Source organism: Homo sapiens, chromosome 6, assembly GCF_000001405.40.
Source record: "Homo sapiens chromosome 6, GRCh38.p14 Primary Assembly".
NCBI lineage: Eukaryota > Metazoa > Chordata > Mammalia > Primates > Hominidae > Homo > Homo sapiens.
Window position 1 is genome coordinate 122,271,927 of NC_000006.12, and position 18,519 is coordinate 122,290,445.

General features: G+C 37.2%; 1 annotated feature.

Moving 5' to 3' along the window:
* Window positions 8,417–8,711: a silencer, noted in NCBI's record as "tiled region #11815; HepG2 Repressive non-DNase unmatched - State 24:Quies, and K562 Repressive DNase matched - State 1:Tss". NCBI's record gives its function as "represses a minimal TATA promoter and a strong SV40 promoter by Sharpr-MPRA in HepG2 and K562 cells {active_cell/tissue: HepG2 | K562}" and the evidence as "EXISTENCE:reporter gene assay evidence [ECO:0000049][PMID:27701403]".

Below are 18,519 nucleotides of genomic sequence, written 5' to 3' on the forward strand. Positions count from 1 at the left end.
CTCTTCTTTTTAGAACTTTTTGCCTTTGTTAGGTCCCTAAGCAATTTTACTCTAAAGTTATTTTACATAAAAATTTTCAATATCATTAGTTTAACTGAATTAGTTCTAGTTTATACCCTAGATCTATTATTACATGTTAATTGTTTTAAGTGCCTCCTCTCATTACCAAAGGTGTCCTAGTTTGAATGATGAGTTAAATGGTTATCCTAAATATGATGGATTTCCATAGTTTTCAAGAATGGTAGCTAGCATAAGGACATTACTCCAAGAATGGGCAAATTAATGATACAATAGAAGAGGGGAGGTCACTCTCTGAATACTATGGCTAAACATCTTCATAAATTGTCATATAAATGATATAGGCTTAGAGCCTACTCAGGAACTTCTAGTGAAAGTGCATGAAGATAATTCTAGTAGGTTAAAATGTATTAACTCCCTATTTCTGTGTGTCCCAGGAACTATACTAAACACTTTATTTGAATTATCTCACTTATTATTCAAAGCAGCCTTGTAGGTATTATTACTACTGCCTTCAATTTACAGATGAGAAAATTGAAGCTTACAGATTATAAGCAATTTACTCAAAGTTACACAGTTAGAAAGCCATAGAAGCAGAATCCAAACTTAAAATTCATACTTGGGCTGGAGCTTTCTATGACTTGCCATACAGATAGCCCATGAATCCATAAAATATCCTCTTGGGTGGTCTTATACCATCAGGAAATCCCTGCTTCACTTCTTCCCAATAACCCCACCGCAACACCCAACATTAATCTCAGAAATTCTTTCCTTAGAGAGCCATTCCCTCTGGCTTTGTTTAGCTAATGTGTAGTAGAAATTTTGTGGTTAACATTCCATTGCTTATTCTTCCCCTTACCTTTTAAATAGTTCCTTATTTAAACTTTCAGATTCATGTATTTATCATGAAGCTGACTCCACCTTCACATCTAAGAGGGAAGCATATGACCTGAGATCAGCTAATTCAGTGCATTCCTTTCCTTTGCCCATAAGGTTTGGCCCATAGCTGGGCAAGTGATAAAACCTGAAAGCCTCAATATTTACAGTCAGAATATTGGCACATAGACTGTTTTACATGATAGACATAAACAAGAACATATAGAATCTTGGGAGCTACCAGCATCCATTCGGGGATCTTAAAGATTAAAAGTAACACCACTATTATAGAGCCAGGAGAAATTGGGTCCTAGGTGGCATTTGATAACCCACTGGATCAACCTTCACTTGTCTTTGGCTTTTTATTTATGTGAGTGTATTGCTTAAGCCAGTTTAAGATAGGTTTTGTATTACTGGCAACTGAAATCAGCTGAATTAATCCATAAGGGATAACAATGGGAAATTGGCCCTGTGATATGGACAGGTCTCTTAGAAGGAGTGACATGTGGGCCGGGTGCGGTGGCTCACGCCTGTAATCCCAGCACTTTGGAAGGCGGAGATGGGCGGATCATGAGGTCAGGAGGTCGAGACCATCCTGGCTAACACGGTGAAACTCCATCTCTACAAAAAAAACAAAAAAATTTAGCCGGGCATGGTGGCAGGCGCCTGTAGTCCCAGCTACTCGGGAGGCTGAAACAGGAGAATGCTGTGAACCCGGGAGGCGGGGCTTGCAGTGAGCAAGACTCCGTCTCAAAAAAAAAAAAAAGGAGTGATGTGGAAAGGTGTATAGCACATTCCAATTTTGCCAAGGGCTGGAAAAATTGCAATATTTTGTAGATCACTGACTCTTTCAGTGTAGTCCATTGCCTATAAAATTATTTTTAAAGCTAAGTTTTTATATTTCATTTTAGCTTGCAAAGGCCATTTCCATCTTACATCATTCTAGCCTCATAACAATTCTGTAAGATTGGTATTATTATTATTACTGCTTTATAGATTTTTTTAAAAAGCTCGGGTGATTTTCCAAAGATTATAAATCTATAAAATGACTAAGAACAAGGATTTGAAATGAAGTCTTTTTTATTTCTGCTACTCCAAGCAGAACTGGATTTCACCTACAAATAAAATTGAATGATGGGCCTTAGTTCTCTAAGGTAGCTGGAAACCATGGCAAATGCCATCAGTGTATTCATACTTTGCCTGGGAATATGATACAAAAATGATGCTTTTAAGAGAAATACGTGCTTAACTATTTGCATCCTACCTTTAACCCCTAGTGATACCCCTAAATTATTTTCTTGAATCACCTAAGTTAACTATATCTTGTTTTCTTCACAGTAATACTGTTTATCAGGGGATTCTCCATGCCTAGGAAAAGCTCTTTGATCATCCGTGCTATTTTCCAGTCCCTACCATTAAATGGAAACAGCTTAAACTTCCAAATAGTAATAATACTAATAGCAATTTAAAAATAATAGCACTTAAATGCTCATCAACAATGCAGTGATTAGGTATCATTACTATGATTGTTATATAGATGAGGAGACCAAGGCTTAGAGACATTAAATGACTTTCCCAAGGCCACACATTTACTAAGTGACAGAACAAGGATGTTATCCCAGATACGTCAGATTCCAAAGATCCTGCCTTTGCTAGATATGCTACAACACTCCTGCCTTTGTGATTTTTGCCCAACCGACATTTTGTTAGAACTTCATCCTACAAGTGTTGGCATGCTGTTCTCCCACTGCCCAGCTCCAACACCCTCATTATGAGATCGACTCTAGTTTCTGACGTTACTCTTTTCTGCCAAACAAAAATTAACATTTTTTCTCATGACCTACACTGAAATTTGTAACATCAGATGATAATAGTCAGATAAATTAATCATTGCTAATGGGTTGATATTTAAGGTGTAACATCTTCTTCTCAGAGAACCATAATATTTTTACAAATGTAAAGAGATATTACAACACACTGACACATTAATCATATGATGATTATTATAGGGCACTATTAAATACTACAAACTAAACATATGTTAGTGGGGCTGAAGGCATGGGAGTCAGAAAATGGGCAGCATTTTGGGTCAACTACATTCTAACATTTATAAAAACTACTGCATGAGCCTCTCAGTCTACCTCTGTGTACGCTGAATCTAGCTAGTGCCTATCCATCACTAATTATATGTATGAGAATTTCTCAAGTAGAACAATAGGGTTAAAAATCCTTCTACATATTCACCCCAAAAGTATAAAGAATACAAATAGGTTTGCGTTGGTCTAACTAAAGAGCTCAATGGTCTGTTGTCAGCTCATTAAACCACATATCTGAAGAAGATGAACAACTATGGGATGTTTTACAGGTTTGCTGACTTTGTGAGAAAGTAAGCAGAGGCAAATGAAGAAAGTATATAAGAATAAACACTTGGAATTAATGGTCCATAAAACCTCAAGTTCTCTGCTGTAGAATAATATTGAAAATCACTTTCCTGATTTCACCTGGTTTGCAAAAATTGTATTCAGACCATCATATTTTTAGTGTTCTGTCCTCGTATCTCAAAAACATTTTGATCCCTCAGAGGCAATCTCTAAACTTCTGTCATTGCTTTTCAAATCACTAAACCAAGAGAATATACCTCGTAACTATAGGAAAACAGATCCCCAGGCAAATGAAAGGAAAGCAAAAATTATTTCATTTATTTTAATATCATCCCTCAGTCATTCTTGGCCTGTAGCCTAATTTTCACTGGCTTTTTAATGAGATTTGTATCTCTGCCCATTTGTGCGAGAACTTATTTTCAAGAGAATGCTATTACCCATACCCACTTTTCTGCAAGTCATTTCTACAGAAACAGGTAAAGCATCAACAGAAAGGGAAGTTGTCAGATCCCTTCAGTAGAGTAGTCAGGTTCCATCAATCAAAAGGTTGATGTCCAAATCAAATTTGTAGCAAAAGAGTAACAGAAAGTCTAATTTTACACATTGCAACAGGCGTGCTGTTCAGAAACTCTTCACATTGTTCTGGGTAGTTTGGTAGTTTTCTAGGTTAAAAAATATCTTTCAAAAAACCACAGTGAAGTGCCTGCCTTCTCACACAGTCTACTGGATTGGGATTTAAGATCCAGCTGAGGACTTACCTATCTTATAAGGCTTATTTAATTCTTATGGTACCAAGCTGGTCCAGAGGCTAGCATCTCTTTCCAAAAGTTGAGAAAATGTAGTTTTTAGCAGGCATCAAATCGTCATATTGGCCACTCTATCTCGTTCAAAATCATGTCCTTCTGTTAATTCAATAATGTCTATAAGGTTGATTAGGCTCATTTGGAGTCACCTTAAATAAGTATAGTTGTGAGAAAAGCTGTTGAATTACTTGCCTACTTGCCCTAAGGGGCTCAGAGACCTGCTCCCTAAGAAACATCTTTGTCTTTGATATCCAGCAATGCCCTTGATTTTTAAGCTCTTTCCCAGACCATGGCCAAAGAGGCTGATTTTGAGTATAATAGATGTCAAAACTACCACCAAGTTGTGTCAATTCTGCCTCCTGTTTCTCTTATCCCTCTATTTCTCTCCATCAGCACTGACACAATCCTACTCCAAGCCAGCAGGTTCTCTCACCCATATCCCTGGAATGTCATCCTAACTGATTCTCTCTCTTCTAATTTTATCCACTTTTCCCTCTGCAATTGAAGGTTTTAAAAACCTAGTAAAGATGTCACGTCTTCTACCCATAATACATTTCCTTAACTTCCTATTTTCCTTAGGATAAGGTTAAAAAAAAAAAAAACTTTAACATGGACTATAAAACATAAGAGGATCAGTTTCTAATCTGTCTACTCTCCACACTCACCATGTACTCTGTTGCCTATAGAATGTTGAAATACTAATCTCAACCTATTTTCAGTTATCCCACCTACCCCACCTTCCATTGGACACTTTATTGACTCACTCATCCTCCAGTCTCAGTTTTAACTCTACTTCCACAGGGAGTTTTTCCATGACCACTGGTCCATGTCATAGCCTTGTGATTCATTCTCACTGCAACCTGCACTTCACCGTTCATGATACTCTTAAGAACTGAAATGATTAATTTTCTATGTTTCCTGCTACACCACAAGTTCTGTGACATCAGAGACTGTGTCTGTACTATGTTTGGCAGCATGTATATCCAGTGCTTAGCACATAAAGGAATCCCAATAAATATTTGTTGAGTGGATTAATGAAGATGATAGGACTCTTTGATTTCTGCTTTGATAGCAGAAGTTTCCAAGAAAAATTTGCCAAATTCTAAAATGAGTGTCCACCCATTTGTCACTATCTTCAGAAATAGACTCTAATTTCTATTGAATTTGCAGATGTCAATGTCCATTTTAAGTACAAGTGGAATGCACAATTGAACATTTTGAACACAATTATGTGCTCTTCTTAGAAAAAGAAATGCATCTAAATACATGTGAATATTTATCTATATACTAATATACCTTCACTCATACGATGGGTGCTCCATGCTTATTGCTTAGGGAAAATAGAGGGAAAAAGTAAATCTGTGTGTCTATGTGTGAATGTACATGTATATAATTATTATAAAATAGCTACATGTTAAAGATATATGTGTTACTGTTTCTGACTGATCTTATTTCTTTGGAGTAATTCTCAACCTACTTTTATAAAGTAGTAGATTCAACCTACTTTTATAAAGTAGTAGATTCAACCTACTTTATTTATTAGTTCAAGAGCAGAAATGAGCCTAATCCTTCAGAATGAAGCCATCACATGATTGGACTACAAGTCTCTAGGGATGTGGAGACAGGAATAAAGGTAAGAGCTGACAGACTGCAATGTAACAGAGATGAAAAAGCAGGCAGGCATTATGGAGTCATACAATCCTGAGTCCTAATTCTGTCTTTGCTATTAACTGTGTGATCTTAAATAGGCTACCTAAAGTATTTGAGCCTCAGTTTTCTTACTTGTAAAATAGAGGTAAGCTAATCCTACCAATGTTTCAGGGTTATTGAAGAATTAACTAATAGAACATATTGAATGTGCTTGTGTATTGCCTAGCATGTAAAGGTCCTATTGTAAAAATATAGAAAACGTAAATGAGATATAAAATGAAGCACGTTATGGATTAACCTATTGCTTTTCCCCTCAACCTATTAAAAATATCTCTAAGGTAGACCACTTTTTTTTCTTGCTTTCTTATATTACCACATATAAAATATTTATGTTTTCATCATTGGCAGTTTCTCCTGCCAATCCCATCGCTTTATACACACACCATTTATTTTCCTTTTTTTATTTTTTTTACTTATTATCATTTAACATATATATGTGTGTGTTTTCTTTTTCTTGCTTATTTTTTAAGAGACAGGGTCTCCTTCTGTCGTTCAGTCTGGAGTGCAGTGGTGGCACAATCATAGCTCGCTGTAACCTCATACTCCTGGGCTCAGGCAATGCTCCTACATCAGCCTCCCCAGTAGTGAGAACTACAGGCATGTACTACCATCCCTGGATAATTAAAAAAAATGTTTTTGTTATATGATGTCTTATTATATCTTGACCAGCAAGGCTGAAATTGAACTTCTAGCCTCAAGTGTTCCTTCTGCCTTAGCATCATAAAGCTCTGGGATTACAGACATGAACCACCATGCCCAGCCTTATTTTCTTATTGTTGTATCCTCCCTCTCCAATATCAACTCCATGAAAGCAGAAATCTTTGTTTGAATTTGACCACTGTGATATCCCCAGTGTCCACAACAGTGCCAGGCTCGTAGTAGGCTCATCATTCTTTTTTGTAGCTAAAGTAGATAATTTTTTAAATAAATCACAGATAGACTTTACAAATGGATAGATTTTGAATATTTTAACATTTCAGCTGGACAAAATATTTTTTCTATTCAAATACTACTGTGCATGAAAATATATCATTAAATCAGGTTCCTACTAAGGGTTTCTCTCTTAAAATACAGACTGTTAGGTCAGGTGCAGCAGCTCATGCCTGTAATCCCAGCTCTTGGAAAGCCCAAGGCAGGTGGATCACTTGAGGCCAGGAATTTAAGACCAGCCTGAGCAACATGGCGAGATTCCATCTCTTCAAAAAATACAAAAATTAGCCAGGCGTGGTGGCACATACCTATAGTCCCAGATAATCAGGTGGCTTAGATGGGAGGATCACTCGAGCCCAGGAGGTCGATGCTGCAGTGAGCCATGTTCCTGCCACTGCACTCCAGCCAGGGCAATAGAGCAAGGTCCTGTCTCAAAAAAAAAAAAAAAATACAGACTCTTTAGGGAAAGTTATGGAGTTAACTAACTTATAACAAGGTGTTAAAGACTAGATCTTTTCCATTTGGCAAGAGAATCTAAGTAATAATAGAAAGTGCTTTGAGTGAAGGAAAAACTGTAACAAAGATGGTAAAGAGAAAGATGGAAAAAAATGTCACCTACTTCAAATTTTGCCTGGCACCCTCTCTGTATAAAATTCCAGACGAGCAGTTAGGAAAAGACACTAAAAATCTGGACCATCACTTGTCTTCTCAATAGCAGACTTTATTGTGACTTCACGATTAATTTAAATAATGTGAGACTACTTAAAGCCATTTCTAAAAGAAGTATAGGTATAGAGAAGTGAACAATTATTCTGGTTTATGTTCAGTTAGAGAGGGTTATCCAAATGACTATAGGGGATGGACTTTTCACCTGCATATTTGGGCATAACTCACCCCTTTTTTCAGCTACCACGAACATAACTTTACAAGGCTTCACAGGAATTTATGGGTTTTTCCATACTCAATGATTTTTAATAATATTTTAAGTATTTTTGAGAATCAGGAACTGAATGCCTAAAAGATTAACTTTCATCAAACAATATTCAAGACAGGCTCTTTGATTTGATTTTTCCCTGTACCTTGACTGTTTACAAAAACATCAAAACATCTGTTTTGTTTACAAAAACAAATTTAGCAGAAAATGTGCACTCTGAGGAAAATGACATAAGATTGCTTCCAGCACCAACTTCAGCTGAATGCTTCTTAATGTAATAATTTTTTATCTACCTGAAGGATTTGGGCAATATACTAATATTCAGAATTTACTTGGATCTGGGAATATCATGATCACCAAATGACTTTATCCAAATACAATGGCGATTAATCTTAATTATTATAGAGCAATCTTAATGATGTTACTAAAATAACTATCAAGAACCCATACTCACAGACTTTTTGCTATTATAACTAATTTTTTAATTACACATTTTACATATATATGTAGAAAAGTGTACACTTTGGAATATAGAAAACTTATCTTAAGCCCTGTATACAGCCTACTGGTATCGTCAAGTTAATCGACCTCTTTAAGTTTCAGTTTCCTTGTAAAACTAGTCTACTAACAACTATTTTATAAAGCTATTACGTCAGCAAGACAGAGTTTAAAAAAATACCGGGAAGGTCTAGCACATAATAGTGCTCAATAAATAACAGTGAAGAAAAAAATAGCTGTTAGGCCTAGGTCAAAGATTATATCCTTTGGACGAACCTTTTCTATCTCTTTCAAGATTACTGTAAACAGACCATAAAATAGTACTGAGAGGTGACAGCGTGCTGGCAGTCCTCACAGCCCTCCTCGCTCTCGGCGCCTCCTCTATCTGGGCTCCCACTTTGGCGGCACTTGAGGAGCCCTTCAGCCCACCGCTGCACTCTGGGAGCCCCTTTCTGGGCTGGCCAATGCCGGAGCCCGCTCCCTCAGCTTGCAGGGAGGTGTGGAGGGAGAGGCGCCAGCGGAAACCGGGGCTGCGCGCGGCGCTTGCGGGCCAGCTGGAGTTCCGGGTGGGCGTGGGCTTGGCGGGCCCTGCACTCGGAGCAGCTGGCCAGCCCTGCCAGTCCTGGGCAATGAGGGGCTTAGCACCCGGGCCAAAGGCTGCGGAGGGTGTACTCGGTCCCCCAGCAGTGCCAGCCCGCTGGCACTGCGCTCGATTTCTCGCCGGGCCTTAGCTGCCTCCCCGCGGGGCAGGGCTCGGGACCTGCAGCCTGCCATGCCTGAGCCTCCCCGCGCTCTGTGGGCTCCTGTGCGGCCCGAGCCTCCCCGACGAGCACCGCCCCCTGCTCCACGGCGCCCAGTCCCATCGACCACCCAAAGGCTGAGGAGTGCGGGCGCGCGGCACGGGACTGGCAGGCAGCTCCACCTGTAGCCCAGGTGCGGGATCCACTGGGTGAGTGAAGCCAGCTGGGCTCCTGAGTCTGGTGGGGACGTAGAGAACTTTTATGTCTAGCTAAGGGATTGTAAATACACCAGTCGGCACTCTGTCTCTAGCTCAAGGTTTGTAAACACCAATCAGCACCCTGTGTCTAGCTCAGGGTTTGTGACTGCACCAATCGACACTCTGTATCTAGCTACTCTGGTGGGGCCTTGGAGAACCTTTATGTCTAGCTCAGGAATTGTAAATACAGCAATCCGCACTCTGTATCTAACTCAAGGTTTGTAAACACACCAGTCAGCACCCTGTGTCTAGCTCAGGGTTTGTGAATGCACCAATCGACACTCTGTATCTAGCTACTCTGATGGGGCCTTGGAGAACCTTTGTGTGGACACTCTGTATCTAGCTAATCTGGTGGGGACATGGATAACCTTTGTGTCTAGCTCAGGGATTGTAAACGCACCAATCAGCGCCCTGTCAAAACAGACCACTAGGCTCTACCAATCAGCAAAATGTGGGTGGGGCCAGATAAGAGAATAAAAACAGCCTGCCTGAGCCAGCAGTGGCAACCTGCTCGGGTCCCTTTCCACATTGTGGAAGCTTTATTCTTTCACTCTTTGCAATAAATCTTGCTACCGCTCACTCTTTGGGTCCACACTGCCTTTATGAGCTGTAACACTCACTGCGAAGGTCTGCAGCTTCACTCCTGAAGCCAGCGAGACCACAAGCCCACTGGGAGGAACGAACAAACTCCAGACGCGCCACCTTAAGAGCTGTAACACTCACGGCGAGGGTCCGCGGCTTCATTCTTGAAGTCAGTGAGACTAGAACCCACCAGTTCCGGACACAGTACTACAAGTCTGGATATGGCCAGTATGATGGTGGGATATATTGACTAACAATCTTGAGATCTAGCTCAGTGTCCCCATAAGGATTTGTATAAAGTCATTTTATGTCAGTATAAAATTGGCCTATATTACTTTGGTGCCCATTCATTTTAAGTGATGGACAAGAAAATAATATGCTTATTTCTGCTCCGAATGTCATACTCCAACATGGAAGAGTGATTCAGTGAAGAGCAGGAGATCCACAGTAATGCTGAGCTATATTTATACCTTTTTTTTTGAGATGAGTCTGCTGTGTCACCCAGGCTGGAGTGCAGTGGCGCAATCTCGGCTCACTGCAAGCTCCGCCTCCTGGGTTCACACCATTTTCCTGCCTCAGTCTCCCAAGTAGCTGGGACTACAGGCGCCCGCCACCATGCCCGGCTTATTTTTGGTATTTAGACCTTTTCTCTAAGAAACTAAAGGCACTTTACCTTATGCCTTGGGATAAGGTTCTGCTGATTATCTGAACAAATAATCTTAAAACAATATTACATCCCCTGTTCCTTGAAGGGTAAGCTGGACTTACCAACTTGTTTTTAAAAAATTGAATATGAAAAGAAGAGTAAGTAATTTTTCCATGGAGAAACCTGAAAAACATGACCTCAGCCGTGTGATGAGTTTCAGTATCAATAATGTTAAGGAAAAAAACAGCAAGCCCAACATAGTCACTCATGCTAAGGCTTCATGTCATCAAACCAAAATCTGAATTGTTTAATTGAGATAGCTGACCTGCAAAATCAGGAGACATTTGACATTCTGAGACTATGGAGCAAGATGGTAGCCAAATGCCATCAAGCCAACAAGATTTTATTTACACGCTTATATGAAAAGTAATCTTAAAACAACCAGACCGCTATTCGTTGATTGTTCCTGCTTTTCCTATTTAACAATAATGATGTCATGTTAATAACATGTACCACTTCATATAATGTGATAAGGTTGGTATTTGCCTCTGTGGTATTCTCAGAGGCAAAACTCATAACCCCAGTATATTCATGACAAAACAATAGGCAAACCCAAATTGAGGAGCATTCTACAAAATCCCTGACCAATATCCATTAAAACTGTAAAGATCACGAAAAATAAAGATTTCACAGACCATAGGAGACTAAGAAGACATAACTAAGCACAATTTATAGCATGAGACTGAAACTTGGAATAGAAAAAAGACCTGTGTTGGGAAAACTAGTTAAATCTGAATAAAATCCAAACTTTAATTCACAGAGTTTAGTAATGTACCAATGTTGGTTTGTTAGTTGTGACAAATTTACCATGGTTGTATAAAAAAGTAACCATAATAGAAACTGGATAATGAATATATGGGGACTCTCTGTATTATCTTTGCAACTTTTTTGTAAATGAAAGTTATTCCAAAGTAAAAAGTTTACCAAAAACTTTAAAAATAAAAAAAAATTATAGATAAATAAGCAGAATAATGTAGCTAATTACAATCTCATTGTATCTTTAATGAAAATAAAATGACCTTGAATATATAAAGTATAAATTTGTCTATTGTATCATCGACATTATGAATCAATAGTTTGACTATTGTGTGTCTCTTAGAAAAGGATGAATGTTTGCTTTACCACTGGTTTTTTAGGGAGTAGTCAACAAATATTTAGTTAATAAGTGAAAGGTTGAATGAGTGAGTATTCTTCATGAATGCTCAAAGTAATGTTCTGTCCTGATCTTTGGAAATTCCATCCACTTGATCAGATTTGTAGTAACATTTATATTATTACCAAGTAAGTATTTGAAATTATATTCTGCTATTCTAAAAAAAAAATGCACTTTGTAGAATCTGCTCTACCTCATTATTATTATTAAAGTTTTTGTCATTTATTTATTTATTTTAGAGATGAGATCTTACTCTGTTGCTCAGGCTGGAGGGCAGTGCAGTGGTGTGATCATAGCTCACCACAGCATCAAACTCCTAGGCTCAAGCACCTCAGAGCCACCATGCCTGGCTAATTTTAAAATAGTTTTTTGTTGCCCAGGCTGATCTCAAACTCCTTTCCTCAAGTGATCCGTGATCTTTAGCCTCCCAAAGCATTGGGATTACAGGTGTAAGCCACTTACTCCCAACCCTTTCCCTCCTGATTATTAAAATAAAGTCTACGCCCATAGCCATAACGTTGATATGAGGATATCTCTGTTTTGGTGTCTTCACTTGGTATTTATGTGACGTCATTAACACTTATTTTTATATTTTGTTAGAAAATCTTGCACTTCTGTAGTTTCCAAGAGCTCTCTTCAGTTAGCTGTAAAAAGTTTGCCAATTAGTAAAGATAAATGCTAGAGACACACAAGCAAGACTAGGAACAATGACAAAAGTAGCAGATTCAAGCAAATGACTGTGGCAGTTTAGAACAAGTCACTGCAGACAGAAGAAGCCACTTAATGGAAATGTGAATAACAAATACATAAATGTAAATGGAAATAATTAGGAAGCTCTGTGGCCAAATGATGAGGTAACCACATGGAATGGAGCAGAACCTAGCAACAAACCTATAGAAAAAGAGAGGTTTTTTTTTTTTTTTTCAGAGACTGAGACACTGGATTGGTGCCTGAAACTGGTACACACAGTGGGAGGAACGGATGAGAGCAAGCATGGACAACCACATCCCTTGCCAAGCAAGCATCAGAGCTAGAATGGCTGGTGAGGTTGGGTTGGATAGAAGCAACTTCTGAAGTGCTATGTAGAAATTATACCTTTGCTTGTGTTCACAGTGCTTCTAGAATGGTGCTTCCTAATTAACCCCACTTAACTTAAAGTGGTTCTTAACCATATAATTTTCAAGGTTTCTATGAACTACCTGAAACGTATATAAAAATATAGGCAGATATGTCCATATTAGTATTTATTATCTGGAGTCAAAGCTTCTCCTTAGGCTGTGGGACTCAAAGACAGGTTGGGTGGAAGAGAATGAGTGGAAGCAAGAGGAAGAGCAGGAATACAAGAAATAACATTCATGGAGTGCAGCCTGCACAACAGAATAGTGTCAAGAGTCTTATCTGAATTAGCAACTCAAATCCTCACAGTTGCATGAGCTAAGTACTGTTATTATCCTCATTTTACAATCAAGCAAAAAAAAAGTGTGCAGCTTGCCCAAATTCACACTGCTCATGGTCAGGACTATCAACTGTAAAGCCCAAACAAATGTTCACAGTGTTATACTGTCCTCTTGGAAACCAAAAACTATCAAAAGTCACTCGCCTACATGGATGGGAATGATAGTTCTAGCAGCAATTTTTTAAAAATAAAACCAGTTTCAACACAGTCAAGAAGACAATGATAAAAGTCAGTAAATTATTCACTAATTTTTTTCAAGGTGCTTAATTTACATTCCGTGAGTTATCTAGGCCATGACAATATCTGGCCTTATAGATAACTTATGTGCTGGTTTTGATTTTTGCTCCTCTACCAAAAAATAGAAAGCTGTTTGAAACAACTTCAAAGTCATGAAGAAAATGTGTTTTAATTTGGCAGTCTGTGTCAATTTAATCTTGGTGACCCAAATGGCAAGCTCCGATTAGAACTCAGAGTTCTGGACTTCTTATTCACTGCTCTCAACCTTAGGGACTTCTAATTTTCATGAAACTTAGACTAGAACTCGTGGGAACAGCAACAGTAGTGCAACCATAGCTAAAGAAAATGAGTGTATCTGGGGAGCCTCATCAAAAAAGAGAAACGTTCTTTCCTTTCATCAACTCAGGGGATTCTAGCAAACTGTCTGCCAACTTTCATGTTTTCACCTTTATTTTTTTCAGCTGAACTTACTGCAGCTCCCATTGGTGAAACCTCTGGGCATGCTTACAAGGTTGTGAAATCAAGGCCTATCCCCGTTGCTAGAGTTTACAATCAAAAGAGCACAGAACAAATACAAAAATAAGCCTCATCACATAGGACTGGCAAACTCAAGGAAGATCTTGGACTTAATTATTTTGAAAACCTAAAATGAAGGGTTTGTTTCAGAAAAGAAAGAGAAGGCAATGAGTTAGATACAGGCATTTGGGCTTCAAAGGCCTGGAGCTGTTAAAAACGTAGGTTTCTTTTCCAGATTACAACTTTTCACACCCACTGGGGTTCATTCTTTTGCAGAAATGCATTCTGCCTTTTAGAAGGAAAATATTATCTTCAGCTCTCTGAATTACTCAAGGCAAACTCTGAAGCCAGGAGCATCCATAATCATATTATCATCACAGACAATAATACAGCATTAGAAACAGCAAGTTCCCTGATACAACTCAATGAAACCCATAGTCAGGTTCTCTATGTCATATTAACATATCCAAGTCAACTCCTATGCTATATTTCTGTCTTTCTCAAAATAAGAGTTATCACTGTTATAGAATAAGGGAATTATCAATGTTATACAAATCTGCTGCCAGCATTGAGTTATTTGGTGCGTGTCAGCCATCCATCATCTGTACACAGAAGCTGCACACAGAATCTGTGTAGACTCAACTACCTGTTTCATTATGATATTCAAATGGAAAAATGCCCAGAGTTCCTGCAAAATAAAGTTACTTACACAGAGCTTACTACATAATACAAACCCAATAAATCTTGACTATTATTTAATTATTGTTAATTTTTCATGATTCTCCCTCTGACATTAACATTTGAAAGAACATCTTCATGAAATCATAGGTAGAGATAACCAAACCTTAGGAAGTTTTATCAGCTTACAGAACAACTAACATACACCAAAAATATATCATTCTATTTAATAGAGAAAAAAAGCTAAGATTTCACAACCTCTCTTCCTGATTCATTTCAGTGTTTAACAACCCTGTCAGGAAATTCCTCAATTATTCTAACCCAGCTACCTCATACTGCAGTTTAAGTTTATTTCCTCATATTCTGGCTTCAATAGAGATAAAGAACAGATGGTCACTATCCTTTGCATAATAATAATATTAATGTTTTATGGGTACAAAGACTTAGTAAATCTTTTCTTGATTATTTTCTTTACCACAAGAAAGTCTAGTTCATTAAACATCATCAGTAGCACTGTGTTTGAATATACTAGACAAGTGTTAAATATCAAGAAAACACATCTATTATTTGTAACGTGCACAAAACATTCTCAAATTTGAATATTTTGAGCAACCATCTGCATACACTATATTTCAGCAAGGTAGCAAATGATGTTTTTGAATATTTACTTGAAGAAGAGAAAATTCTTAATTAAGCAATAGTAGAATAAGTTCTGCAGAAAAATTAAAATGATTTGGATAGAGTTTGTCATATTTTTGAATTCACGTTCAACTTAAAAGATAACCGAATAATTTTAGATTAATTTACCTAGGCCAATATAAACTTCAGAACAAATTATGAAGAAATACTTTATAAAAACAAAACCACAAAGTTCTGAATAAAAAAATAACACCTATCATCAATGAGCCTTTGATAAGACTGATGAAATAAGCAAACATCTGTTAACTTAGCTAAGAAAAGTTGAGAGTATGTCAACTCTCAAATATAAGATAAAAACAAAAATTTTTACTAAAAAGTAGAATGTCTAAAACATGGACAGTTAGAGGATTTTTGTGTATATTTTAAAAGCGAAAGAAAGATTTCTGGCATCAAAAGGGCAATTCGCTTATCTACATCTTCAGGGATTAAATTTTATCATTTTAGTTGTTTGTCATCTTATTGTGTTTCTCTTTTCTGTGTGTTTTTTCCCAGTATATTTGTTGTCTCTGTCTCTCTCACACACACTTTCACATGTCCAGAAACTTTCCAGCTTTTAAAAAACTATTCACTCATAAAATTAAATTCTATTCCTATTAACAAATCACTTATATATTGAAAATTATAAGAATTCAATCTAAAAAGCGTGAATGGCTTTTCGTCTCCCTAGTACTCTGGGATAGAATGTTGATGTTTTACAAGTCTGCTCTAATTTTCACAGGAGTGGACAAACCTACACACAGAGCTGAACATTACATATTTTCCTGACTTGTTTTCTACAATTTTTATACTTACCCAAATCCAACATGCTTTTTCCTAGAAAATGTTCTCAGGTTCTTAAACTGTTCATTTCAGGAAAACTCAATCTACTTGTATGGTTCGGTCTTGTGTATCATCTTACACAGTAACAAAAAAGCAAATTTGATTCATTTAAATTACAGTTAAATTTATTTCTAAAAGACAAATATATCTTTGTCCACTTAAATGGATGTATGTCCATCTCACATGTGTGAGAGATTGGTTGTTAAGAACTCACAGCACCAATATATCCATATTTGTGCTAACAGAGCATGCTAACTTCCTTTTCCTAATCCCTGCATATTTTGTTCTACAGTTGTCCTATAAACATACAATGTAAAAGTACAGCTTCCCATTCATTAGTGGAAACATGTAAGCTATGTGCATGTCAAAATCTTATTTTAAAGAATTTCAAATAAATTTTAAAGAACTCTTTTAAAATTCCTAATTGTGTTAGACTCCTCTTTTGAATATTTTCATGACACCTTCTACTTCTTGTTTACCACAATTAGCATGGGTATAATTATTAAATTACTTTGTAATTACTTGTTTATAATTTTTTAAATTACATTGAAATTATTTGTTTTATCTCCCTCTCCCCTGAAAGCATCTAAATTCCTTGGGTGTAAGAACCACATCTCTGTTGCTCACTAGTGCATTGCTGCATAATGTAGGTAATGGAATATTTATGGAATAAAAGAATTAGTTAATAGATTTCAAGTTTCTGACTTCTAATTAAAATTGGGAATAATATTTTACGGCTCTAAGAAATGGCCTGTGGAAAGTTGGATTCTTGGCACTAAAACCAAATTCATTTGGATTGCTGCTACTTACTATTTCCAGTTCTGTTACTGACTATGATGCCAGTAAGGATAGAGAGAGTGAGGATACATTTCTCTGGCTCATTGAGCCATTTATAAATGAGAGAAAGTGACTATCCTGATAGTCTCTTTATTTTATGCAATTTTAAAGTGTTTGAATGACAGTTATGTCATAAAATAAAGTTATTCCATTAAGCATCTTTACATAAAATGATTTTGCAGTGCAAATCATATCCCTAGAGATGGTTATATAAACTCCTTCACTTAATCAACAGAAAGAAGATGCTTCTCTTGTCCTCACATGTCAGAATTGTAAAGGCATTCTACTATATAAGTTGTGTATCACTTTATGTTCATTATATCCATGACAATGTAAAACTAATTATGGGGAAAATCCCTGAAGCTCATTAGCTTTCATCCTCCCTTTAGGATCAATTATATAAAGAAAATGCGTTTCCGTAAGTAAGTGTTTTTGGCTCATCTCATCTCTATCTCATTTGGTCTTAGTAAACATGAATATTTACTTGAACTTGTCAACTTTTGAACAAGGTGTCCTGCTTCCAAAAATATTTATTTGGATTCTGGCCCACTGACCAAAAAAAAAAAAAAAAAGTCAGAAATCAGCCTGAGTAATACAGTTATGCCAAGACTTATCTGACTGGCAGTCAGGGGGCGACCCACGGAGGGTCAGATCCGCAAAATATTTCTCTCTGTTTCTTTAGACTCAAACAGCGCTGGGAAAGTTTCAAATATTTGGGGCCTGGAGAGCTAATGTTCTCATTCTATTAAAAGTTATTAACAGAAACATCCTTTCTCATCAATACCAGTTATCCAATCCAAAGAATGGTATTAATCACAAAGAATTATCTTAATTTAGCAATCGTAATGCCTGTAAATAATTTAACATGAAAATAAGGAAGATCCAAGTTATTTAAGTAAATTTATTTGAAGGGCAATAGAAGTATGGATGACTCTTTCTTGTGAACTCTAATAAAGTCTTCAAAAGCAATGTAACCTGAACCAGCAGTGGCCTCTATTTGTCTAATATACAGTAAAAGCCTTCACTAGCCTCTCCAGTGAATGATTTGACAAAATAAAACTTGCAACTTGAACCATATTATATGGTACATTAGGCAGAAAATGCCAAGAGCAGAAGGCAATCATCGGATGCGGGATCCGTGAAGCAAATTTACTGGAACTGTTAGTAAATTTACTGGATCATTGCTTTTGGAATTCAACATAAATCATGCAGGTCACTGTATTTAGAAAAAGTGTGTAACTGCCTAGATGAAATGTCAAAGATTGATAACAGAATGCTCCCTGATATTGCTTTTGTTGAGAATGCCTAGCATTTAGCTCAGCTTTTCCTTTCAGATCCAGACAAATGCAATTCAATCCCTATTCAAATAAAGGGCATGGGATAGTCTTTCAAAATCAATAATAGAAAATTGCTTTTGGAAAGCCAAATAGAAAATACACTGCCATTTGCGTATCTTAGGACATAGCCCCACAGATTGTGGTCCTACATTTAATTTGAGTCAACTCTCCAGCCAAAAGTGCTAAGCAGGAGCAAATGCCCAGTAAAAGAAAGTTGCTGCCATCTGCAGGCTTTGTGGAACTTCATCCTAACTAAACATTTTTTTGAATTTAAAGAACAAAGAATCCTTGTAGTAAACAGATTTGATGTATCAGCCTACATTACTCTAAAACCAAACTCTTAGAAAGCTCC